This window comes from Homo sapiens, chromosome 17 (assembly GCF_000001405.40).
Source record: "Homo sapiens chromosome 17, GRCh38.p14 Primary Assembly".
Classification (NCBI taxonomy): domain Eukaryota; kingdom Metazoa; phylum Chordata; class Mammalia; order Primates; family Hominidae; genus Homo; species Homo sapiens.
In genome coordinates this window covers 50,373,229-50,398,826 of record NC_000017.11, presented here as the reverse complement: position 1 = coordinate 50,398,826, position 25,598 = coordinate 50,373,229, and the positions used below count along the sequence as shown (strand labels likewise).

At 47.7% G+C, this 25,598-nt stretch overlaps 2 protein-coding genes and 1 long non-coding RNA gene across 11 annotated transcripts, besides 2 other annotated features; 1 reads left to right on the top strand and 2 right to left on the bottom strand.

The window, feature by feature from the left end:
- Nucleotides 1-269: 269 nt before the first annotated feature.
- Nucleotides 270-3,903, bottom strand: LRRC59-AS1 (LRRC59 antisense RNA 1). 2 transcript variants are annotated; one of them, NR_199069.1, is made up of 2 exons: nucleotides 3,835-3,903; nucleotides 270-1,611 (listed from the first exon to the last, which is right to left on the bottom strand). It is a non-coding gene; the product is annotated as an LRRC59 antisense RNA 1 (long non-coding RNA). The 2 variants fall into 2 exon arrangements; NR_199068.1 differs by lacking the exon at nucleotides 3,835-3,903 and adding an exon at nucleotides 2,324-2,420 and having other exon boundaries at nucleotides 270-1,587.
- Nucleotides 1,258-1,327: a silencer, noted in NCBI's record as "silent region_8697". NCBI's record gives its function as "represses an Ori minimal core promoter by ATAC-STARR-seq in GM12878 lymphoblastoid cells {active_cell/tissue: GM12878}" and the evidence as "EXISTENCE:reporter gene assay evidence [ECO:0000049][PMID:35858748]".
- LRRC59 (leucine rich repeat containing 59) lies at nucleotides 1,304-17,589 on the top strand. Its single transcript, NM_018509.4, has 7 exons — nucleotides 1,304-1,614; nucleotides 3,839-3,898; nucleotides 5,930-6,088; nucleotides 6,325-6,429; nucleotides 10,695-10,767; nucleotides 13,536-13,709; nucleotides 15,592-17,589. Exons 1-7 carry the CDS (start codon nucleotides 1,510-1,512, stop codon nucleotides 15,837-15,839), a joined length of 924 nt encoding a protein of 307 aa, NP_060979.2. The 5' UTR covers nucleotides 1,304-1,509; the 3' UTR covers nucleotides 15,840-17,589.
- On the bottom strand, nucleotides 17,344-25,598 carry EME1 (essential meiotic structure-specific endonuclease 1). Of its 8 annotated transcripts, none has more exons than NM_001166131.2 (9): nucleotides 25,550-25,598; nucleotides 22,844-23,642; nucleotides 22,634-22,761; nucleotides 20,146-20,232; nucleotides 19,932-20,053; nucleotides 19,603-19,759; nucleotides 19,260-19,375; nucleotides 18,326-18,515; nucleotides 17,344-18,064 (listed from the first exon to the last, which is right to left on the bottom strand). In NM_001166131.2, exons 2-9 carry the CDS (start codon nucleotides 23,616-23,618, stop codon nucleotides 17,888-17,890), a joined length of 1,752 nt encoding a protein of 583 aa, NP_001159603.1. In that variant the 5' UTR covers nucleotides 23,619-23,642; nucleotides 25,550-25,598; the 3' UTR covers nucleotides 17,344-17,887. The 8 variants fall into 8 exon arrangements, 7 of the variants coding, with proteins under 7 accessions (NP_001159603.1, NP_689676.2, XP_005257138.1 ...); NM_152463.4 differs by having other exon boundaries at nucleotides 19,603-19,720; XM_005257081.4 differs by having other exon boundaries at nucleotides 19,603-19,720; nucleotides 23,315-23,642.
- Nucleotides 25,280-25,499: an enhancer, noted in NCBI's record as "active region_12383". NCBI's record gives its function as "activates an Ori minimal core promoter by ATAC-STARR-seq in GM12878 lymphoblastoid cells {active_cell/tissue: GM12878}" and the evidence as "EXISTENCE:reporter gene assay evidence [ECO:0000049][PMID:35858748]".

Genomic DNA, 25,598 nt, shown 5'->3' with positions numbered 1-25,598 from the left:
CTGCTCGGCCCCTCTGAGATAAGCTTTAATATCCCTATTTCAAAATGAGTAAACTGAGGTTTGGAGTGGGTAAAGTGCTTCCTTCCTTCATTCATTCATTCATTCATCCATCCATCTATTCATTTATTCAACAGACATCTGAATGAGTAGCTACCCTGCATCAGGGTATGCCAACTCTGGGCATACGAAGATGATTAAGACAAAAATCCCTGTCCTCACAGTCCAGAATGAAGGACAGACACATAAAGATGAGTATAATACAAGGTGGATCATGAATTGTAGCTAATATTTATTGGGTACTTACTAAGTGCCAGTGACTGCTGTAAGCTCTTGGTGTGTTTTACTCCTTCAGTTCTCCCCAACCTCTGTTAGCTACATGTCTCATAGATTGATTCATAGATAAGACTGAAGCCTGGTGATTGTCTACGGTTTTATAAGTAGCAAGTGGCAGAGCCAGGATGAATACCCAGTGGATAGGTATTAGTGCCAGAGGTCCCACTTGGCCATCAAGCTCTACTGTCTCTGATGATAAAGTAGCAAACAGGGACCTAAGTTGGTTGGGGGGGGCGCTAACTCAGTCTGGCATTCACGGTGTTCAGGGGAGATTTCCTGAAGGACTAAGGAATTAGCTAGACAGAGGTGAGTGGGGGGGAGGGAGGGCCATCGCTGGGGAGGGCCAGACGTGGGAGCCACCTCCTGGAAATCTACACAGCATCTAGGCCAGGCAGGGACTGGAGCGTGTGAGGAAGCTGCGAAAGCAGGCAGGACCCAGCTTCCAAAGGAAAGTGGTCCGTATCCTAGAGGTAGCTGCAAGTTTGAAGGGTTTTACGTAGGGGAGAGACTTGGCCAGATTTTTAGAAAGATCACCGGGGAGCTGGGTGAAAGTGGATGGAAGGACAGAGACAAGCACTGAGGCAGTGAGTGGGGAGGAGAGAGGAGAAATTCAGGAAGAAGAGTTTTCCCCATGATGGTTATTCGGGGGTTAAGTAGAGGACAGGGAGCAGTTTTAGAGGACACCCAGCTTCTGCTCCTAATCAGGGGGATTGGGGTGATCTGATGAGGTCAGTATTGGATGTCAACCCAGTCTTCTGGCGCCCAGTCCGTGCCCTTTCGCCTCGTGGCACTGCCAGCAATAATGCCCGCGGGCCACGGGTGAACGTGAACCGAGCTCGCAGCCTCCAACCCCACCCCTCCGGCGGCGGCGACGTGCAGTGCATCACCCTGGGCACCAGGGGGCGTGCCCGCACACGCTCGGGCCGCTCTGGCCCAGCCCATCTCAGTGGTCGCGGAAGGTGACGTGGACACGGAAGTGGTCGTCGTCGCGGCACCGGTGGGAGCTAGGCGCGAGGCTCGGAGTGCGGCCAGCGGGCGGAGGCGGTCTCGCATCGGCGGCGACGGAGGGCTCAGGCGTCGTCGTTTGGGTGGGGGGCCGCTGAACTGACAAGCGACATTTCAGCTCCTTTCACCCGCCGGAACCCCGGAGCCGGGGCCCGCTCAGCCGGCGTTACCATGACCAAGGCCGGTAGCAAGGGCGGGAACCTCCGCGACAAGCTGGACGGCAACGAACTGGACCTGAGCCTCAGCGACCTGAATGAGGTCCCGGTGAAGGAGCTGGTCAGTATCGTCCCGCGAGGCCCAGGCGCCCACCTTCGCCGGGCGCTGGCCCCTACGTGGGCCACTTACTTTCCTCTTCTCTAAAAGCATCAGTTTCCTTTTCTTTAAAAAGAAGCGGGGTGGTGGGACTAAGTCCCCTAGGAGGCCGCGTCCAGCCCAAGGTTCTTCCCGGGATGTACACGTGTCACTTTGGCGCAGTTCCAGAACATAGGGAAGATCTGCTTCTCTGGCCCTAGGCTTTTTACAGGCTAAGAAGCGAATCTGTCACCTTTGCGGGGCTTTCACAGCGCCCACCTCCGTGCCCGACTCTGAGTAGGAGCACACGGAGCAGTTACTGGATGTATTCGAGAATGAATGAGTGACTTGTTCCAGGGGAGTAGGCCTCCTGGTAGACCTGGGTGTGGCCCAGAACCTGGCTCTTCTAGGAAGCTGGCAATTCCAGCTGGCTGCCCGAGCCCTGAGGCAGCCTAACTCGAAGAAAGTAAAGTCTCCCCCCAGCTTGGCTGGTAAACTGTCATCTGAATTCCGCTGAAACTGGCGGGAGTCCCTTTCGCCCCTCTCTCCCCCAACCTTTCCCCTGTAAACTGAAGCTTACAGCTCCAGAGAGATAGCAGGCATCTAGTTTTGTCAGCGTGGAGCTAGTTCCCACATCCCTCCTTTTCCCACTCCGTTCCCCCTCCCACCCGCGCCAACGCCCTACTAGACTCACTTTGGGTGACCCACACTTTGCTTTCTGCCGTTGATAAATTACATTTGCCTTGGGCGCTGGGCCCAGTCTTTCTTCCACCGTGGACGGGTATTACAGTGGTTAGAACCGGGTTCCTAGCTCCTCCCAGCTCCATTGCTTAATAGCCGAGTGCCCTTGGCAAGCTAGTTAGCCTTTATGCCTAGATCTCCTCATCTATACAATGGTGATAATAGTTTCCATCTCATACGCTTATTGGGAGGTTAAATACCATTGTAATGGAAAATGCTTGGAAGGAGCAAATACTGATACTTGTAGCTGTTGTTGTGTTTTTCCCGCTGTAGTATTTAAAACTTTTTTAGGTGGTCAAACTTCACTTTTACGACTTTGTGACAGAAAGTGCAGGTTGCCAGAGGATCCTTAACTGAATATATGCCTCCTTTTCTACCCCAGGAAGATAGATGGCCAGCCTTATTTCACCCTGCCCTAGGACTGCTCTCTGAAACCATATACTCCAGGCATCTGAACAGTCCAGCATTAACCTTAGGGAGAAAGTTTTGCTGAGCTTGTCCAGCCTGGACACCATGGGAAAATAGAGATGGGCTGTGAGGGCCTTTTTTTTTTTTGGATGATGGAGTTTTGCTGTTGTTGCCCAGGAGTGATCTCGGCTCACTGAAACCTCTGCCTCCCGGGTTCAAGCGATTCTCCTGCCTCAGCCTCCCGAGTAGCTGGGATTACAAGCGTGTGCCACCATGCCTGGCTAATTTTCTATTTTTAGTAGAGACAGGGTTTCTCCGTGTTGGTCAGGCTGGTCTCGAACTCCTGACTTCAGGTGATTGCCTGCCTCAGCCTCCCAAAGTGGTGGGATTACAGGCGTGAGCCACCGCACCCGGCAGGGCCTTGTTTTTTCACTCTGTCATTCACTCCGCTACTTACTCGATCAGTCATGATTCAGGCAACATGTATGGATATTGAGTACCTGTTCTGAGGAAGGGCCTGAACTGGGGAATATGGAAATTGCAAAGCTTTATTAGACACTGTCCCTGCCCTGAAACCTAATAAGAGGGACGCTGGGTAATATTTATTTTTAAAGTGCTAGGAATAATGTCTAAGAATCTAAATTTTGCTTGCCTGCCTGCCTGCCTGCCTTCCTTTCTTTTTTTTTTTTTTTGAGATGGGGTCTCACTGTGTTGTGCAGGCCGGCCTCAAACTCCTGAACTCCTGGGCTCAAGCGATCCTCCTGTCTCAGCTTTCTGAGTAGCTGAGACTATGAGACTACAGGTGTGAGTCCCTGTGCCTCGCCTAAGGTTTACCTTCTTGGAGGTTGTACAGCCACATCCCTTCTCTTTGCATTCTTCCTTAGATCATGGTTGACTGGCTTATTTTTCCTCTTATTCCCAGGAACATTACTCTTTACTGCCATTTTAAAAGGCCTTTCCTAATCATGGGAACATTCTCTGGAAAATGCTTCATTAACATATGTCAGTGAATTGTTCCAGATGTTGGTCTGACATGTTTTTCTCATCCTCTTTTACCTAGGCTGCCCTTCCAAAGGCCACCATCCTGGATCTGTCTTGTAATAAACTGACTACTCTACCGGTAAGATTGGCATGCAGCCGTGACTCCTTCTGGTGCCTTGGATGCATCTCCTTCCTGTTTCGGGGGTTGAGAGGGGGGTGGGAGGGTGTCATAAGGTGTAATTTCAGGATAGGCCTACAGGCAGGCTATAGCTAAATCTGAGTGTGTAGGGGAGGCACAGTGGAATGGAGTGGTTGGTCTCAGTGGGAAAGGAATTGAGATGGAGGCCTCATTCTTCAGAACAGTGGTAAAGTCAGTCCACAGAAAACTAAACTCAACAGGGTGCTGAGTAACTTACTGGGCTCATCTTTTTTCTACATTATTTTATTCCTCTGAAAAATAGTTTACCTCCCTACTGCATAGAGGATGCTAGAGACCATTTTGTAAGTTGCTCTGCGTTCCAGGGAGAAAGCTGTGAACAGCTTCCTTGTGCATCTTTTGATGGGGAGCAAGAAAGAAGGTGATTTTATGGGCTACCTTATCATTATTCTCCCAAAGGACTTGAATTAGTTGAGATTTGCTCAATGTGGTCAGCACATTCAATCCATGATCAAATCCTTTTTATTTTTCTTGCACAACGTCTGCTAGTTTTCCTTCCACTCCACCTGTGTAGACAGTGGATTCATTCAGCCCCTCAGCCTCTCTGACATAGTAGTGCTCCTGCACCGTCAGGCCTAAGTGTGCTATTGCCACTTCCACCCATCACTCTAGCCGTGCCACTCCTTGCTGTACTCCAGGGTGACTTCCTATTTGGCCCTGGCTGTGGCTCAGAGGTCGAATTCAGAAGTTGGCAATGTCCTCATTGGATTATTAGTCCACTCACCTCTCAGTATTCTCCTAGGCCTTGCTCATCGTCCACAGTACCTTGTCACAGCTCATCAAAAACTGTTTCTAACATTCAAAAAGCATCGAGATCTCACTTCTTCCAGAAAGTATTTTGTGTTGAATAAAAGAAGAATATGTTGGGAGCTGTGGTTCATGCCTATAATCCCAGTAACTCAGGAGGCTGAGGTGGGAGAATCACTTAGCCCAGGAGTTTGAGAGCAGCCTGGACAACATAGCAAGATCCCGCCTCTAAAAAATTAAAAATAAAAGCAGGTTAGCAATTCCTTGCAGCCGCACTCCTTCTGTACACTTTGCCAGATGGTCATTCAGCCAAGTGCACTTTTCGATCTGAGCTTGTTCTGTTGTCTGTACTGACAACTTCCATTTCACTCTGCATTTCAGATCCACTGGCATTTCCAAGTCCCTAGAGAGCATGAATAGTGCCTCATTAGCTGAGGTTGTACCATCGCTTTCAGATGGGTGCTTAGCAAAGGTTTAATGTCAGGGGGATGTTTTGACCTGTGTTGAGAAAGAGCCAGGACTTGGGTAGGATGGACCCCAGCCCGTTCAGTTAGTTATTCACAGAATGTCTGTTGAGCACCTGTGTTAAGTACTGTGCTAGGTGCTGCAAATAACAAGAATCAGACTGAGTACTCCAGGAGTGCCTGATCTTTTTAAGAAAATGAACGAGCACGCTGTTTTGACAGATCCTATGAATGGTGAGCATAGGGTGCTGTGGAAGGACAGAATGGGTAACCACACCTCTCCAGGAGCAGTGTGGAGGGTAGGCTGGAGCAAGAACTGAGGGTGAAGGAATAGTGTTTTGTGCCTACTTTGTGCTAAGCCCTTTTCCATACATATCTTGGTAATTATCACCAGGTGTGGTAGGTGTTCTCTGCATTTTCATTTGAGGAAGAACGGCTGCTAACAGTAGAGCCAGGATTTTTACATGGGGTACCTCTGACTTGAGGGCTTCCAGACTGTTACACCGAAGTGTGTGAGCCCAAGGCTTAGATGAGGAGTTTCCAATCTTGTGGCTTCCCTGGGCCACATTGGAAGAAGAAGAGTTGTCTTGGGCTACACATGAAATACACTGATGAGCTGAAAAAGGAAAAAAAATCTCGTAATGTTTTAAGAAAGGTTACAAATTTGTATTGGGCCACATTTAAAGCTGTCGTGGCTCGTGTGTTGGACAAGCCTAGCTTAGGTTCTCTCTTTGGATCCTAGTCGGATTTCTGTGGCCTCACACACCTGGTGAAGCTAGACCTGAGTAAGAACAAGCTGCAGCAGCTGCCAGCAGACTTTGGCCGTCTGGTCAACCTCCAGCACCTGGATCTCCTCAACAACAAGCTGGTCACCTTGCCTGTCAGCTTTGCTCAGCTCAAGGTAACAATTCATGAACCAGTGTTTCATGGCCAGGGTGGCAGAGAACTCAGGGACTCTGGAGCACGGCCCTGAGAAAGGCTGACAGAAATACCCCCTTGTTGGTCCTGCCTCAGATGGCGCTCCCTATATGTGGAACACAGAGGGGCATTCTTCCTGCTCATTTTGTTTCACCCTGAGGGACTATGTATGTGAACTCGGGCTTAATGAGCCTCTTTGCCCATCGCCCATCTCTTTAGAACCTGAAGTGGTTGGACCTGAAGGATAACCCCCTGGATCCTGTCCTGGCCAAGGTGGCAGGTGACTGCTTGGATGAGAAGCAGTGTAAGCAGTGTGCAAACAAGGTAAGCACCAAGCTCCCTCCCAGTGGCTCCTTATACACTCCCTGGGATTTCTCCTCCTCCTGTTTTTCCCTCCTAGGGCACCTGGAGCTTTGTGTGGAGTTAAGCATTCAGGTCCGAGTGAAATATGTCCACTATGAGCCTGTCAAACAGAGACCTTTGTTTCTGCATTTACTTTATCTTTTTGTTTTTTATTTGTTTTGAGACAGAGTTGCTCTGTTGCCCAGGTTGGAGTGCAAGTGGCACAATCTCGGCCCACTCCAACCTCCGCCTCCCAGGTTCAAGCGATTCTCCTGCCTCAGCCTCCCGAGTAGCTGAGATTACAGACGCCTGCTACCATGCTCAGCTAATTTTTGTATTTTTTAGTGGAGATGGTGTTTCGCCACGTTGGCCAGGCTGGTCTCCAACTCCCGACCTCAAATGATTCGCCCACCTTGGCCTTCCAAAGTGCTGGGATTATAGGCGTGAGCCACCATGCCTGGCCTGCACTTAGTTCGCAAGTCGCAGAACAAGACTGCCTTCTCTACTGCAGTACTTCCTCTCTTAAGGAGCCGGGACCTTGCGTGATGCAACATGACACTGTGTGGACAGTTGTTTTAATAGTACCGGGGGTTAGGGGCTGTGGCCTTTCTGAGGCACAGTCGTAGGAATGTTGATAATAAAAGCGATGATAAAGGTGTTACAGCTGTAAGCAGGCACGTCCTGGGCAGACCTGGTATTTGATTACAGTTGAGTCATCTGACATAGGAGTGAGGAACTGAAAGCAGCATGCAAGACAACTATTGTCTGTGGTCAGTAGCCTGGAAGGTGCCGTACCCTACCTATTAAGAACAGCATTACACCTATCTCTTAATAACTCCAACTATAGTCACTTTTTCCCTCCAGCTTTGGAACAGATTGCTGCTGCTTCAGCTGAGCACCAGATGACTAACTTGGCTATGTTTAAGGTGCATGTTGAACAAAAAAGACTTAACTTTAAATACTAGAATTCATGGGTGAATGATGAGTCTCTGCTGTCTCAAGTAGAGAGTAAGAGAGTAAGATACTTCTTATCATTAGCTCAGGGCTTCTTATATAATCTTGTCATCTGTATCATCTCTTATTACAACAAATCAAGCACAAAGTTAACCAAGTAGCTAAGACAAGAGTTTTCCCTTAGATGAGAACAGTATAAGTGATCAGTGAAATCCTCTTTTGAAAACTAGGTGCTGTAGGAGTGATGTCTGTTCTGCAAGCTGACAGTAGCTACCATTGATTACTCTTTCCTTGTCCTGGATGCTTTCCATGCACCATCTCACAATCCTCAGAGCCCTGAGGAGTCGGCATTACTTTCATTTCTCTGACACAAGAAACCCTCAGCATATACACACCTTTCATTCATCCATCCATCCATTCATTCAGTAGGTAATATGTGGAACCATAGGAAATTGATGATATTCCAGTTTTTGACATACAAAAATAATTTTGATTGAGTACAAAGGCCTTTTGTATTTGCATATGTCTTTCAGACAAAGCTCCAGGCAGCATAGTGGATGTGGTAACTAAAGCCATGGTCCCTAGCACAGCTGTCCTAGAGCTGCAGCACACCTTTAGGCTTTGTAGGGAAATGGCCTGGGCCAGTCAGAATCAGGTCGTCTGTCTGCAGGAATTAGTTTAGGTCTTACTAGCTCTGACCAGGTAAGACCTAAACCCTGGTGGGTATATGGGTTAGTCTTAATCTGCTTGGTACATATTAAAGCAATTTTTAAAAATGATTTGTTCAATGTATTCATCAAGTGCTTACTGTATGCTATGAACTAGAGTAGCTAGACAAAAATTTACCCTCCAGGAGCTCACAGACTCCAGACTATGACAATCTGTCCCATTTCTGCATTGCCTGTGTTTTCAGATAATTAATTTTTTTTTTTTTGACATGGGGTCTTGCTCTGTCACCCAAGCTGGAGGGCAGTGGCGCACTCTCAGTTCACTGCAACCTGCGCCTCCCGGGTTCAAGCAGTTCTCCCACCTCAGCTTCCCAAGTAGCTGGGATTACAGGGGCATGCCACCATGACTGGCTAATTTTTGCATTTTTAGTAGAGATGGGGTTTCACCATGTTGGCCAGGCTTGTCTTGAACTCCTGACCTCAGGTGATCCACTCCCCTCACTCCTTTTCCTCAGCCAACACCCTGGACTCTTACTTTCCACACTCTCCCTGCAATCATGGCAACGGGACCCATAACTTCTCTACTGCCTGAGTGCCCTGAGCCCTAACTCTGGGTCCAGACCTGATTTCTTTCCTTTTTCTTTTTTTTTTTTTTTTTTTGAGACAGAGTCACGCTCTATCGTCCAGGCTGGAGTGCAGTGGCGCAATCTCAGCTCACTGCAACCTCCACCTCCCGGGTTCAAGAGATTCTCCTGCCTCAGCCTCCTGAGTAGCTGGGATTACAGGCGCACACCACCACACCCAGCTAATTTTTGTATTTTTTAGTAGAGATGGGAGTTTCACCATATCGGTCAGGCTGGTCTTGAACTCCTGAGCTCCAGTGATCTGCCCACCTTGGCCTCCCAAAGTGTGGGATTACAGGTGTGAGCCACCGCGCCTGGCCCAAACCAGGCTTTTGAAAGGAGATCCTTTTGCTGGTCTGCTCCTGAATACTTCTTATGATGGGTGTGTGCTTGTCTGGAGGTATGCGTGTCTGGAGTTTTCTAGAAATAAGAATTACATATGAATATACATGTCTGTCTCGTGCGCATGCATATTCAAATGTAATTGTTAAGTGCAGTAGTAAAACAAGACCCTTTTGCTAATAGTTTGGGTTTTCTTCTTTTTTCTTACTCACATGGTAAAGAAAATAAGCAGCAGTACTTACTGAGCACATATAATGCCAGAGATTATACAAGGCAGCCAATACAAGTTATATTATTTATTCTTCACAACACTCCATAGAAGTATATCTTATCTCTGTTTTCTCGATCAGAAAATCGGCTCAGAAAGGTTAAGTCACTTGCCAAGGTTATACAATAAGGGGTAGTCAGGATTGCGTTGGGCTCCAAGCTTACACTCTATCCCCTACAGCCAAAGAATACCACCTTTAAAAAAATACAAACAGAAAAGGTCTTTACCTCCTCCACCCACCATAGCGAGAATCTTTGTGATTGTGTGGTTAGAGGTCATCCATGAGCGAGTTTATGTGGATCTGGGGAGCTCAGATTGCCGAGTACAAGTGTGCTGTGTGTAGGCTTCTCTCGGAGCTCTCCTCTGCATGTGGTGAAAGTGTGTGCGACAAGCTCTGCCCTAGGAATGCAGGGGACTGTGCTCAGGTCTTAGCTGTGCTGCTTTCTGGCCATTAGCAGTGGACAAATCACCCTATGAGTCTTGGTTTTCTTCCTTTTGAAATGGGAATTAGCCATTCCTCATGTATGTATTGAATGCCTGCAATTAGCTAAACTCTGTGCTAGCCACGCCCCTGTGTGATACCTACAGACCAGACAGCGGTTCCTGCCATTAAGGAATCTGCCATCTTATGACCAAGCCAGATAGGTAGCAAGTAGCTACAATGTCCTGTGTTGAATTCCACAGGAGTAGATGGAGGGGGACTTAAGGTAGCCACAGGAGGGGCAGTCAGGAAAGCGTGTTGGAGGAAATGCTGTTCCCAAGTTGTTGCTGAGGGTCATATGGAATCATGCATGTGACAGTGAGTGTAAATGGCAGAACTTTTTACAGATTCGAGTTGGCATTGTGTTTCACTTTTTTCTGACAGTTTTAATGACCTTGGCTCATAGCACTCTTCTCCAACTAAGGTTGGCACAGTAATTTTAGGATACAAAGATACAATTAACTCTATTAGTTTGGTGGTGGTGGTGGTGGTGGTTGTTGTTTTGAGATAGGGTCTCAGTCTTCACCCAGACTGGAGTGCCATGGCGTGACCACAGCTCACTGCAGCCTTGACCTTCTGGGTTCAAGTAATCCTCTCTCCTTGGCCTCCTAAGTAGCTGAGACTACAGGCATCTGCCGCTGTGCCTGGCCAATTTTTTACATTTTTCTGTAGAGACAGGGTCTCATTATGTTGCCGAGGCTTGTCTTGAACTCCTGGGCTCAAGCAGTCCTTCTATCTCGGCTTCCCAGAGTGTTGGGGTTACAGGCGTGAGCCACCACATTCAGCCTAACTCTTATTAGTTCTACATTGCTACCATGATAATCTGGAAGCCTGAAAATAGTCTGTTTTTTGAGACTTCCCTGAGCAAACATGACTATGAAGAGCACTACTTTCCTCCTTTTCCTTTGCAGGTGTTACAGCACATGAAGGCCGTGCAGGCAGATCAGGAGCGGGAGAGGCAGCGGCGGCTGGAAGTAGAACGTGGTAGGTGGCTGTCCCTCTTGTAGTTATCTTTCAGGTCCTCATCCCAGCCAGTGGATTCTCATGCTTCAGGAGCTGGGATCCAGTAGAGTAGTCATGAAGAACAGTTAGTGGGCGGTGGGGGGACAGTATTGTGGTGGATGGTATCGTCTTTATCTGATGAATCTCTCTTCAGTCCTGGCTTCTCTGCTGTGCTCTAGAGGCAGTCAACTGCTTATATTTCATCTCTGCTTGGAGGGTTAATAGGCATTCATATGAAATGTGGCTAAAACAGATTCCTGATGGCCCTTCAGTCCCTCCCAGTGTTCCCTGTAATAGGAAATCACTTTCCCTATAGTTATTCAAGCCTAAAATAGGAAAGATGTTAATGACTCCTTTTTTTCTGTAATTCCCACATCCAATCTGTCAGCAAGTCCTATGTGGGACTGTTTCTCCAGCTCCGGTGCCATCTCTAACCAGCCACCATTCTGGGACCATCACAATGCCTTCCAGCATGTCTCCATGATGCTGCCATCTCCTTAAACTCATTCTCTTCACAACAGTCTGGGAGATCTTTTTACAACATAAATAATTATGCTGCTACTTGCTTAAAACCCTCTAATGGCATCCCACTGAACTTAGAATGAAATCCAAACTCATTGACAAGGCCAGCAAAACCCACCTTGGCCCAAGCTTACTTGCCTGCTCTCCACCGGCCTTGTTGCACACACAAGTGAAACTGGGCCATTAACTTCAGCTTGAGTACACCAACTGCAGTCTCACTCAGGGGCTTTGCTGGGTTTCCTTTTCCCTTAGTCTCTTTAAGTGCTGGCTTCATAATCCCACATCTCTGCTCAAATGTTGCCTTAGGTTAACTGTAACCCTTTTAGAACCACTGGATTAGAGTAGCCATTCTACCTGTCACTCTGTCATACCCTCTGCTAGTTTTTTTTTTAATTATTTTTTGAGACAGAGTCTCGCTCTGTTGCCCAGGCTGGAGTGCGGTGGCACGATCTCGGCTCACTGCAACCTCCGCCTCCTGGCTTCAAGCCATTCTCCTGCCTCAGCCTCCTGAGTAGCTGGGACTACAGGTGCCCCTCTGCTAGTTTCTTTAGGGCACAGATCACTGTCATTGTTACGTTCACCTGTTTATTGTCTTCTCTAGAAAGTAAATGATATAGGCACTGGAATGTGGCCTGTTTTCTCCATTGCTGCATCTCAAGCCCTTAAAATAACCCCTGGCACATAGTAGGTGCTCTGTTGACTGGCTGGCTGATTTCTGAGCCCCTCACTGGAGGACTCTTGTGGTTCAAGAAGGGATGTGTACAGTACTGATTACAGGCAGTCCCTGAGAGCACCGTGCCAAGTTACAGCCATCCCTTATTACGCATGGCCACTGTGGCAAGACATACCCGTGTTTACTCTGACCCCTGTTGCCTTCACCTCTCAGTGGCCCATGTTCCCTAGAGGCTGGGTGGAGTGTGTTCTTGGCATTCTGGTGCCCAGCTGGAACTTGGAGCTTGTTTCTACATGGAGAAGCAGTGGAAAGCTACAGTATTTACAGTAGTACTATTCAGCTACATTATGGCTAACATAGCCTTTTAAGCCCTAAAAGGACATTTAACCATCATTTGTGGCATTCTGGCTTTGGCAAAATGTATTTCAGACTTCCAAATAACTAATTTGGAAATGCATTTTTAGAACCCAATAATTTGGAGGTTGTAATTTGGAAGTTTGCAAACATGCTTGAACCATTGAGTAAATCTGAATGTGTTCCTGTGTTCAGTTCTCAGATTCATGAGTTCAAGTATTTGTTTTTTAAGACTAGTCAAGTGCAGGCTGGTCCTAGTGCAGTGGTGTTTACAACTAATTCATCACAACCAGTTAGAGATTTCTTTCTTCCTTCTCCACTCCCACTGCTTCACTTGACTAGCCTTAAAAAAAAAAAATAGTCAGTGCAGTAGTAAGAAGGTAGGTTCACTTTTTTAGAACACATTGCCATTGTTACTTTTTTTCTTTTATTTTCTTTGAGGCATGGTCTCACTGTCACCCAGGCTGGAGTGCAGTGGCACGATCATGGTTCACTGCAACCTCCACTTCCTGAGCTCAATAGATCCTCCCACTTCAGCCTCCCAGGTAGCTGGGACTACAGGCATGCGCCAGCACACCCAGCTAATTTTTTCGTTTTTTTATAGACAGTCTTGCTATGTTGCCCAGGCTGGTCTTGAACTCCTGGCCTCAAGTGATACTCCCAGCTTCACCTCCCAAAGTCCTAGGGTTATAGGCATGAACTACTGCTCCTGGCGTCATTGTTTCTAACCCTAAACTTGAGTGCTCATTTTCTCTTCTCACTTGTCCCCCCATACCACATTCATTTCTGAAGCTTGGGAAGATAGGAGTCCCATAGAAAACTGCCATGGTTTTTTCTCTTCATAGCTGAGTTCTAGAAGGCAATCAGTTGCTATGCCTTCTGAGTTAGTACCTAATTCTAGAGGAGCACCACTTATCCCTCATGCCTTTCTTAGGTCCTCCTTGTTATTTTACCCTAATTTCTCTGCTGCTTGAGGATAGGAACCTCGTAATCAGAAACCATTCAGCAAACCCTGAGAGCAGCTGCTTTTGGGGAGGGCTACTTCCAGGAGCAGAAGGATGGCTGTTTCCTTTGAATATTTCTTATGTGAACCATGGCACCAGGGTAAAGGTGGCAGAATCTGTACTTTTAATCACTTGGGAAAGCAAACTGCTGGAGTGTTTGTGAGAGAGAAGTCAAATTTTGGTATGTTTTGTTGTAGAGGCAGAGAAGAAGCGTGAGGCTAAGCAGCGAGCTAAGGAAGCTCAGGAGCGGGAACTGCGGAAGCGGGAGAAGGCGGAAGAGAAGGAGCGCCGGAGAAAGGAGTATGATGCCCTCAAAGCAGCCAAGCGGGAGCAGGAGAAGAAACCTAAGAAGGAAGCAAATCAGGCCCCGAGTAAGTTTTCTGCCTGTTGTAAGATTCCAGCAGGGGTACAGTGGAGACACTCATGTTTCCAGGCATAGACAACTGGGGTGAGCAGGCCTGCAAACCTTAGATAAAGTACACTCTAAAGCTTGGGAGTGGATGAGAAGGTTTGGTTACGGGGAATGGGGGACTCTCCTAGGGAGGCAGTGCCCAGCTTGTTTGTTTCTCCAGTGCCCACATACTTCTGTGCAGGTGTTTGGGTCAGATGTATCTTGAAGCATTCCCAGAACAGAGTCTCACTTTTTTTTAGAGGTGAGGGTCTAAAATCATTGAGATATGCAAAAATCACACACATGGTCAAGTTTCCTTTTTTTTTTTTTTTGAGACAGAGTTTCACTCTTGTTGCCCAGGCTGGAGTGCAATGGCGTGATCTCGGCTCACTGCAACCTCCGTCTCCTGGGTTCAAGAGATTCTCTTGCCTCAACCTCCAAAGTAGCTGGGATTACAGGCATGTGCCACCACGCCCAGCTAATTTTGTATTTTTAGTAGTGATGTGGTTTCTGCATGTTGGTCGGGCTGGTCTCAAACTCCCGACCTCAGGTAATCCGCCTGCCTCGGCCTCCCCAAGTGCTGGGATTACAGGTGTGAGCCACTGTGCCCGGCAAGTTTACTCTTAAAAGTGCCTTACAGTAAAGTTCTGTGGCTCAGGCCTTTAATCCCAGTGCTTTGGGAGGCTAAGGTGAGAAGAGATCACTTGAGCCCAGGAGTTTGAGACCAGCCTGAGCAACATAGAGACTCTGTCTCTACATAAATTAAAAAATTAGCCAAGTGTAGTGGCACACACCTGTGGTCCCAGCTACTTGGGAGGCTGAAGCAGGAGGATCATTTACGACCAGCCTGGGCAACAGTGAGACCCCTCACTGCTTGAACACTAGAGGAGTCATTTGGCCTGCATTCAGGGAGCCACATTGTATAGAAAACACATTTTTGTGTTTTACCTGACTATGGTTGAATTTCGTTAGTGACGTGGCTCCACATGCTGCAGAGGATCAGATACCCTCTGGGTGAAAAGGGACTCCTGAGGGAGAGGCAGGTGAGGGAAGGAGCTCTGTACAGAGAGTGGAGGCCTGTGGCCCTGCCCCTACTCACCCTTGTCTTGACCAGGACAGGGCCACAGGCCTCCACCTTCCTGATCTCACTGGTTTTTAATTTCCTTGTTGAAAATGAAGATCATACAGGGTAGTGATAAGGATTAAATGAGGAAGCAGGATCATGCAGTTCCTGGCATTGTGGATGATCAGTCAAGTTTTTAAAAATTTTGTCTAAAAATCTCAAAACCAATTTTTTTCTAATTAAAAATGTAACATATGTTCATTGCAAAGAATTGAGAAAAGATACCTATCTATCTAGATACATATATCAGAAAATGGCAACCACCTGTACTCCCCCATTCCTAGCAATCATCACTGCTTACAATATGGTGTATTACCTTTTGGGCTTTCTTTTTATATACACATTATATCATAATAATGACAATAATGATAAATCCTGACCGTGTTTCCCCAAGTGGACAGTACTCTGTCAGCGCTGGATGCTTCCTGATAAGCCTCTCCCTCTGCGATCCCAAGAGGCGTGGATCACCATGTTACCAAGGAGAACTTAGGACCCTGAGGGCTGTGAGCTACATGAGACACGCAGAATGAGTGCCAGTTGCAAATCTACCCCCTTCAGATCCAAGGGAAAAGTTGTTTCTGTTTCGGTCTGTGGAGACATTTTTTCTCTTCAGGGCCTGGGGAGTTTTTGCTTGAGGAAGGAATGTAGGTAGATCTGCACGGAGGAGACTAGCAGAGATTAGTATAGAGCAGGTCTCCTCTGACTGAACTTGCTTTGTCTACTGTTACTTTTCCTCCAGAATCTAAGTCTGGCTCCCGTCCCCGCAAGCCACCACCCCGGAAGCACACTCGTTCCTGGGCTGTGCTGAAGCTGCTGCTGCTGCTGCTGCTATTTGGTGTGGCGGGAGGGCTGGTTGCTTGTCGGGTGACAGAGCTGCAGCAGCAGCCCCTCTGCACCAGCGTGAACACCATCTATGACAATGCGGTCCAGGGTCTACGCCGCCATGAGATCCTCCAGTGGGTCCTCCAGACCGACTCTCAGCAGTGAGCTTGTCCCCAGCACCTGCTGCCTCCCAGCCTTGGAGTTTGGATTCCTATGGAATTGGGTTCTGCTGGACACAACCTCTTTTTAGCATCAGACCTACCTGCCATCATCAAATGGCTGCAGATTGGTACATGAGACCTCCTCTTTGTAGGACTTCTTCATTCCTTAGTCAGGGTTCCCTGAAGGAATGAGGAGAAATGGGAGGTGGCGGGGGGGCGTGGGGGGCAGTTACCTGCATGCCTAAAGGAGTAGGCTTGGGGGTGGGGAGAGAGAAAACATAGCCTTTTCTAGTTGTTATATAAAGCTGTGTAAAGGCAAGGCTCGTTTCTACTAAATGGTCAGCTGTCACTACATTTATACTTTTGTATGCCACAAACCCTTTCATTCCTCCCTGGGAATCAGGGTAGATCAGGAGGAACTGGGGGGGACTAGAACACCACGCTCAGTAAATCCAGTCTAAACTGGGAGGTAGGGGTATTCCTGTTTTCTTTAGGACCTCAGAGATGTAAGCATTTTAGCAGCCACACAAAATCTCTGGCTATGAAAGGGACTTCATGACCATCCAGTCCAATATAACACTTGCAGACAGAGAAACTGAGGTCTTCCATGACTTGCCTAGTCTCCCAGCTAGTTTGAGGCAAAACTGGATTCCCACTCTGGTATTCTTTCTTCCCTTTACATCATTTTCCCTCCTTTATAATGTCCTGAGAGACCAGAACTCACACCAGAATCGATTATTCCTCAGGTGAAGCATAGACTCTTTCATGGTAGACAGATTTCACGACTCAGAGATAGAAATCTCTTGCTATCATCAGGTCACGGGCAGCTCCTGTGGAGTCCTGCCCAACTTATGTGGCTTCCATAAAATGGCAACAGTCCAGGCTCCTTGCCTAATTTTAGAGCATTAACTCCCTAATTGCCAGTAAGCAAGGAGGTGGATCTCTGCAAACCTACACTGTCTATGACAGCTCTAGTTGTACTTGGTGTGACTAAATACCTCAAAGGCAACCTGCTTCTGCAGGTTTTGAAGTGTCAGCTTCATAAGACACTGAGGTTTAGAATTGTTTGATTCTAGACCATAACTGAAGGGCATAAATGGAAACAGGATATGAAGGGAAACAAGTAGCATCATGGAGCTGAAAAGTGGTGCATCACCCAATGGCTAGCACAAACAAGGATCACACTGTCCATTCTCTTGTCTGCTAAATTAAGCATTTTCTTGCCTCCTTTGCTTCATCTTTTCACAACAGCTGGATAGAGGGATCAGAAATGACTGTGTCATGGTGCTCATTCACTGCAAACTCCCAGTTGCAAGCTCCTTGGCTCCCCCGGAGGGAGCAAGAATCTCATAGTTCAGAGACACAGAGGGCCTTTTAGCCCTAATGACCTTTTGGATGGGACTGCAACTCATGACTATCCTGATATTGGAAGAAAGGACTTTGTTAATCTTCTCCCCCATAGCTCTGCTGCGTAGGTCTACATCTTACTCAGAATCACTACACATTCCTTTAGTCTTCCTCCAAGCTCCAGAGCCATTGGTACAAATGCTTTATTGAAACTAAATACATAATACACACAATGAGATGAAGACAATATAGAAGTCCGCATAGTCATCATAATCCCGTTCCTTGGCCGGTTGAGGCAGCTCAGTGGCTGAGCCCAGTCAAGCCAACCCGCAGCTTCACTCACGACTTCAAGATTTGATGCTAATTCTTTTGGATTTCTACAGTTATTAAATAAGTGTCTGAGTGGACTGTCTTTGTTCCTTTGTGTTTTGAGGGCTGGCTGGGTAGGAGTGGGGGTGGTTTGTCTGTGGCAGTGAATTTTTGCCAGGAGAGGAACATTAAATGCCAAAGGTAGGTGGCAGTATTTCAGTCTCTGCCCCAGCCGACAGGCAGAGAGACCTTCACAAATAATAAGACCCAAGAAAGACTGGGCCTCACCTAGGCTTGTGTTCCAGGAGGTGCTGCCAGTCTCTTCATTACAGTCAGGCTCTGAGGTTGGGGAAGTGGAAGTTTCCAGCTTTTCATCCTCATCCCTGAGGGCTAGAATCAGTCAGCACTATCTAAAGAGAGATGTGGCTGTAAAGTGGTCATCTGAAGGTAGATACGCCTGGATAGTTCTGGTCCAATGCGGCGAGAAGTGGATGTCACACCTTCCCCACGGCGCACCTGTATGTCTGCGAGCAAATTCTGGCGTTCTTTATCCGAAAAACACTGCTGATAAGCCTGGAAGTGGTAGATGACCTCTTAATATGGTACCATCCATGGTGATCCCTTCTCCATGAGCATGGAGGGTGCTACGCTTGGCTTGGGGCATGAGAACCTGTCCTCCCTCCCTGGGTCAGCATTAGCAACACTGATCTTAGTAGACCTGCACTGCTGACCTGTGAGGCCTTTGTGGGCCCTCAACAGTTGTCCATGGAAATCTGGGGGCCCACTGAGCCCGCAGGCAATGGGCAGTGACCCCTGAGCCCTGGAGCAGCATACCTGTACCAGGAGCTGTGGGGAGGGATAGGCATTCACAACTGCACTGGCCATTTCCAGGCTGACTCGGTTCAGCTGCTGAATCTGTCTCCTCCAGACTAGTGCGAGTCCCCTGCCAGCAAGGTCCACCTTCACCCCTCCAGCCCAGTCACTCTCCAGACAGAAGGAGAAGGTAGTTTCATCTCGGAGCTTCCTGCAACAGCGTGGTTGGAGAGCTGTAAGTTGCTCATTACTCTTCTACACCTGTTCCCCTCAAGTGGCAACTGAAAACCCCCCCACTGACCTTGGAAGAGGTGGGCGCCATGTTACATCTGGCCTTTTTGTGCCTTTGACAATTTGAGTGCTCACTTTGTTGCCAGGTATAGGGCCAGTTGCTGATTCATTTAAAAACTACATCTAGTCCATTATAGTAGAAGAAAAGATACCAGATTCTTTGGATATCTGGCAATCTGCAATCTATTTCTGGTTCTTCTAACTGCTAGGAGCTTAGACAAGTCAATCTCTTCAGGCCTCAGTCCCCTCAAGTATAAAATAAGGGACTTGGACTGGATTGTCTCTGAGGTCATTTACTTATTTTAAATTCTGACAGTGAACACTTCTTGAACTGAGTAGGCCAAAAATTTGCTTTCCTAGTGCTTATTACATTGTGATCTGACCTGTAATTAATCCTGGTAACTTGGCCTATGGTAACCTGGCCTATGATATCAGCCTGCAGAACACATACTTACATATAGGCGAAAGGAGAATATTTGAAAAGGCGCTAGGCTTGAGGACTCTTCCCAAGAATCCCCAGTGTGAGGTCAGCTCCTTCTGCCTCAAGCTTGAGAGACAATGGGCTGACTGCAGAGATGAGGGGAAAGGGACATTTGCTTTGACTGCAAGAGCCATGGTAAAGGACAGGCCCAGCATGGAGGCTGGACTTGCTGGGGTTACTCACTTGAAGGGCGCCTCAGCCACAGCCTTTGTGAATGCGCATGTGAAGTCGGCCAGCTCTTTCCAGCTCTGCACAATTTGAGCCTGGGCTTCTGTGTGTAGCTGCAGATCCACCAATGCCTAGAAACCCAAAAGCAACGATGGACTGGAAGGGTAGGAAGAGACTAGCTGCCAAGTCACTGTCCACTAAAGCCACACCCCAGCCCCTTGGCTTCCTGTTTGGTACCTTCTCTTAGTCAGTGCCAAGGCAGAAAACAGTACGCAGCAGGCATTTTATTCTCTATCAATAGCAAGTCTCAGGTGACCAGTGAGTACCCAGCCCGATTCAGGCAACAGGACGTTCTTACCTCTTCAGCGTCTACCCTGGATACCATGGACCCTATGCTGGCCTCTGGTTGTCTCTGCTGCTGCTTCTTGGTCTGTTTATTTGCTCCCTGTTTCCCTCTTCTTGGAGGATTCTGAGCACTGGTGCAGGGGAGGAAATCAAAGAACAGCAGCTCCAGGCTGAAGTCAGGCAGAAGATACAGAAGAAGACTGGACCAGAGCATCCCCCTGGACTTGTTAGAGATGGACTACCTTGCAGAGTGACCTACATCTGCAATGAATAAACTAAACTCACCCCCCTTGGCCCAAGAGCTGCCCCTTTTAACATGAAATCACCAGGGCAAATCCAAACCTGAAGCATTTCTCCTGATCCACAATCACCAGTGACAGAGCTTTCCCTGCTGTCTTTGCTGTGATGTCAGTTACAAAGCCCTGAAGCGTTTCCTTCCCTTTCATAGTGCTGTCCAGGCTTCCCTGCATGAAGGGGCAGAAACTGCATTAATACTTGCTTCCTAGTAAGAGTCAGCCCTCTGTTCCGTGTCCTCCCACCCTCTGGCTCTGCCCACCTGCTTTCCATTGTCGATCATGGACACAAATGCCTCTGCCCGGAGCAACACCAGTACTGTTGGCTCCTCCACCCAGTCCTCTCTGTCCTGCCAAAGTACCCAGAACACAGCACAGGGAGGGAGGTCAGCAGGTATTGAGCACCTGTGAGAGTGGCCCAGGTCTTCTGGGTGAATGAACTAACTCCCACCCCTTATGCATTATCCTTTCTGGAATGAAGTCACTGTGGCAAGAAACAGTGTCGCTGTCCCTCCCAGCCCTCAATGATTCAGTCTTGGTGCCCTGCATCTCAGAGACAGTGAATAAGAAAGGAACATAGCAGCCGGGCGCGGTGACTCACGCCTGTAATCCCAGCACTTTGGGAGGCCGAGGTGGGCAGATCACGAGGTCGGAGATCAAGCCCATCCTGGCCAACACGGTAAAACCCCATCTCTATTAAAAATACAAAAATTAGCTGGGTGTGGCGGTACGTGCCTGTAATCCCAGCTACTCGGGAGACTGAGGCAGGAGAATTGCTTGAAACTGGGAGGTGGAGGTTGCAGTGAGCCGAGATCATAACACTGCACCCCAACCTGGCAACGGGGCTAGACTCCATCAAAAAAAAAAAAAGGAACATAGCAGGCCAGGCACGGTGGCTCACACCTGTAATCCCAATCCCAGCACTTTGGGAGGCCTAGGCGGGCGGATCACCTGAGGTCAGGAGTTCGAGACCAGCCTGGCCAACATGGTGAAACCCCGTCTCTACTAAAAATACAAAAATATTAGCTGGGCGTGGTGGTACACGCCTGTAATCCCAGCTACTTGGGAGGCTGAGGCAGAAGAATCACTTGAACCCAGAAGGCAGAAGCTGCAGTGAGCCGAGACCATGCCATTGCATTCTAGCCTGGGCAGCAGGGTGAAACTCTGTCTCAAAAAAAAAAAAAGAGAGAAAAAAGGAACATAGCAAGTTGAAAGGGGCTGGGGCCATTTTGAATACGGGAATGGAGGGAAGGGAAACTCTTCCAAAGGTTAGTACAAGTAAATGACTCTGGCTTTGAAGGCAGATGCTGTGAGCCGAGTGGTCCTTACAAACAGATAGGTTTTTTTGTGACAAAGACAAGAATCACAAGGGAAACTTCAGTCTATGAGAGTACCTCCTGTTTATCACAGGTAGGGCATAATCAAAGTCAAGGATGCCTCAAGGCCAACAATCCTCCAGCAGTACAGTATTATGGAGTAATTGGGGAACAGGACTTTGATAGAAAGTTTTCTGATTGGGTCCCTATAAGCAAAGCAAGACCTATATTACAGCAAAGTGTAGGTTTGGGGAGCTCTGGGTTCTCATTCCCGTTGTGATCCTCAACAAGGCTTTTAACTTTTCTGAGCCCCAGTTTCCCCACCTGTGATGTGGGGAGAAGTCCTACCCCATAGGATGACTGATGGAAACACAAGAGAGAATGTGGGAGTGCCTTGAGAGGGTAAGCTGCTCTATGAATATAAAGGCTTGCTAATACCCCCAGAGTAAAAAGTGTGGGGAACTGTCCTGTGTTACTGAGAAAGTTATCAGATCCAAAAAAGAAATCAAAGAGAGGAAAAAAAAATCTTTTTTCTTATTTTATACAAGATGCTTCTGGTGAGATAAAAAAGAATCTTAGTGCTAGGCAAGGTGCCTCACACCTGTAATCGCAGCATTTTGAGAGGCTGAGGCAGGTGGATTGCTTGAGCTCAGGAGTTGAAGACCAGCCTGGGCAACATGGCAAAACCCCGTCTCTACCAAAAATACAAGCTACACTCTGCAATCTCTACAAAAAACACAGGGCCCACATGTCTTCTGGCTCCCAGCTGGGTGTCACCAGCAGGGACCCGAGGAGAGGACTAGTGGGAAGGAGAAAAGTGAAGTCAGGGTATTTTTCCCCTGGCTCCCTCCCAGTGGGGTCACCTAGGGTTTGCTGTCCCCCTCTGTGGCAGCTCATAGCTTCGCTCAAGGTGGTCCTCTCTCCATTTCTCTCTCCTGAATTCTGTTAACCACTCCTTCCCCTCATCCCTTCAGGCATAGGGATGGTAACAGCTATGCCAATGGTTCTCAACCGGGGGTGATTTTTCCCCACAAATGACATCTGGCAGTGTCTGCAGACATTTTTTATTGTCATGACTGAGAGGGGTACATTAGTAGATAGTGGCCAGGAATGCTGCTAAACATTGTGCACATCATAGGACAGCACCCAAAACAAAGAATTCTCCAATCTAAAATGTCAACAATACTGAGGTCGAAAAACCTAAGTTGTGCTGTTATTACTGTGAGGTACCATGCTGTCACTGGTAGTTTCCTCATACCCTGCCCATGCCTTGGCAAACAGTCCCTTTATTCAATCTTCTTTTAATTACCCTGAGTTGAATGTGCCATCTGTCTTCCTGCTGGGGCCCTGATAAGTATCCTTTAAAATAAAAGCATATTTATCCTGTAATTGTAAGGGGAGGAGAGGGAGGAAATGTCAGCCAGAAAACTCCTACCTCAGACGGCCCAGCCCTTCTCCTCCAAGTGACACTGCAAGGCACAGCCTGCGCCTCAATCACACAGCGGCACTCCATGGTCTGCAGTGCTCCTAGGAGCTGGCCCCCACCTTCCATCTGTAAGAGCACTGCAACAGATGGAAAAGGGACTGTCAGTGGGGGGTCCAGAACGCAGATAACTCAGCACAGGACAAAGACACATGTGAGGACCTGGATCCAGCACTACAATGATGTGTTTTAAGCATTCCTCTGGCCTCTGGGCTTTCATCCTGGTAACCAGTGCTGCATTCTTTCTTTCCTGTCTTCTCAGGGTGCTTTCCTTCTGCCTTGCTTGTCTCTGCTGCCGGCATCCGTGTGAGCCTCTTCCCTGGACCTTCTGACTCGGCTTGGTTTTCTTCTGGGGTGGAAGGATGTCAGAATTTGTTTTGGTTACTGCCAAGCTGCTGCTCTGGCCAGGGCAGGTAGACAGGTAGGCTGGAAGCTGACAGCATGGATCTAAGATCAGGTCCTTGTTATCTGCTGCACTCCTCTCTGGGGTATCATGGAGGGGAACTTCAGGGATCTTTGGAAAGGGCTTTTTCCAGTCACATGATGCACCTTCATTATTTTGATGATCCAAAACACTTTTAACTGGGGAGCTAGAGTCCTCAGGGCTCAGTTGCTTGTGGGTCAGAAACTTACATGTAAGCCTTTGAGCCAGAGGAATAAATTCTTCTTCATCTTCACTTTCACTGCTTAGCAACCTGACTGGCTGTGTTTGTGTGACAGTTTCAGCTATTTCTGGGACAGGTGGTGAAAATAACTCTGGTGCTGGAGGACAGGAGGCTTCACAATCTGAGATGTCAACCACTACAATCTTCTCTTCCCTTTCAGGCTGTCTCCTCTTTGTTGAAGATGGTTCCTTCTTCAGAAAGGCAAATGTTGGCAACTCCTCAGAGTCACTATCACCAGAATCCAGTGAGGGTGATGACTTCTTTAGAGCCATCAGTATGTGCTATCAAATAATTCCCTAAAAGGAAAAGAGACATATGACACAGACTGGAGCATTCAATTCAGTCCACTAGCTGTGTTCCATAGCCAGGCTTTATGACATAAATATAAGATATAGAGAATACAGAAACAGAGAAATATGACATGGCCCCAACACATTCAATCTGGAACTCTAACTCCTGGTAATCTAACAGGAATCCTCCTCAAATTCTTTCCAGGTCAAGCTGAAGTATAAACAAAGTAGAGTTACCATTACAAAATTTTAATGGGGGGAGGTGGTAACAAGATTTAACACCTCCAACCCCTTGTTTATCTTCACGTTTGAAATGGAGATGTCAAAAGTTCTTCTTTTTTTTTTTTGAGATGGAGTCTCACTCTGGCACCCACGTTGGAGTGCAGTGGCACAATCTTGGCTCACTGCAACCTCACTCCCAGGTTCAAGTGATTCTCCTGCCTCAGCCTAGCTGGGATTACAGGCGCCCCACCACCACACCTGGCTAATTTTTGTATTTTTAGTAGAGATGCGTTTTCATCATGTTCGCCAGGCTAGTCTTGAACTCCTGACCTCAAGTGATCCGCCCGCCTTGGCCTCCCAAAGTGCTGAGATTACAGGTGTGAACCACTGCACCTGGCCAAAAACTGTTCTTTTTAAAAATTGAGATATAGGCTGGGCATGGTAGCTCATGCGTATAATCCCAGCACTTTGGGAGGCCAAAGCAGAAGGATCACTTGAGCCCAGGAGTTCGAGAACAGCCTGGGCAACATAGTGAGAACTCGTCTCTACAAAAAAATACAAAAATTAGCTGGGTATGGTGGCTCACACCTGTAGTCCCAGATACTCAGGAGGCTGAGGTGGGAGGATTGCTTGAGCCTGGGAGGTCAAGGCTGCAGTGAGCTGTGATTGTACGACTGCACTCCAGCCCGGGTGACAGAGTGAGACCCTGCTTCAAAAGAAAAATAAAATAAAAATAAAAATAGAGATATAATTTGCACAGCATAATATCCTTTTAAAAGTGTACATTCAGTAGATTTTAGTATATTCACAATGTTGTGCAACCATCATCACTATTTTATCACCTCAAAAAGAATTCCTGCAGCCATTAAGCCGTCACTGTCCTTTCCCTCCCTCCCCAGCTCCTGGCAACCATAAATCTGTCTCTATGCATTTGCCTATTCTGGATATTTCATATAAATAGAATCATACACTATGTGGCCTTTTGTGATTGACTTTTTTCACTCAGCTTGTTTTCAAGGTTTATCTATGATGTAGCCTGTATCAGTAGTTAATTGCTTTTCATGACTGAATAATATTCCACTGTATGGATATGCTACATTTTGTTTATCCATTCATCACTTGGACATTTAATTTGTTTCCTTTTTTTGCCTGTTATGAATAATGCTGCTATGAACACTGACATACAAGTTTTTGTGGGGGTATGTTTTCAAATCCCTTTCGTGTATATACCTAGGAGTAGAATTGCTGGGTCATATGCAAAGCTAATCATTTCTTGAACATTTACTAACACTGTAGGTATGACCCAGAAGGAGACATGTAACCTGCCTAGGCCTCAGTTTCTTCCTTAGTAAAACAGGGATGGTAACAGCACCCATTTTATAAGGTAGTGAGAATTAAATAAAATAATGCATCCACCGCGCTTAGTACAGCATCTGGCACACAGCTGGCTAAGTAGAGTAAGTTGAATGACTAGGGAGGGGGCCTCATCTCTGACCCTTCGCTGGGCCTCCGTTGACATCTGCAAATCAGGGGAGTGGGACAAGCGGGCCCCTGCCCGACAAGCTCTGCGCCTCTCAGGCTGGCGGTCCGCTGCAGAGGCTCCTGGACACCTTAGCCACCAAGATTCTGCAGAGCGGTGTTCAGGAGGGAAGCCCTGCCCAATCCGCAGGCCTGCGACCGGGGACGCTCACCTGCAACTTCTCCCGCCACTCTTTCAACTGCCACGCAGGGCCCGGAAGT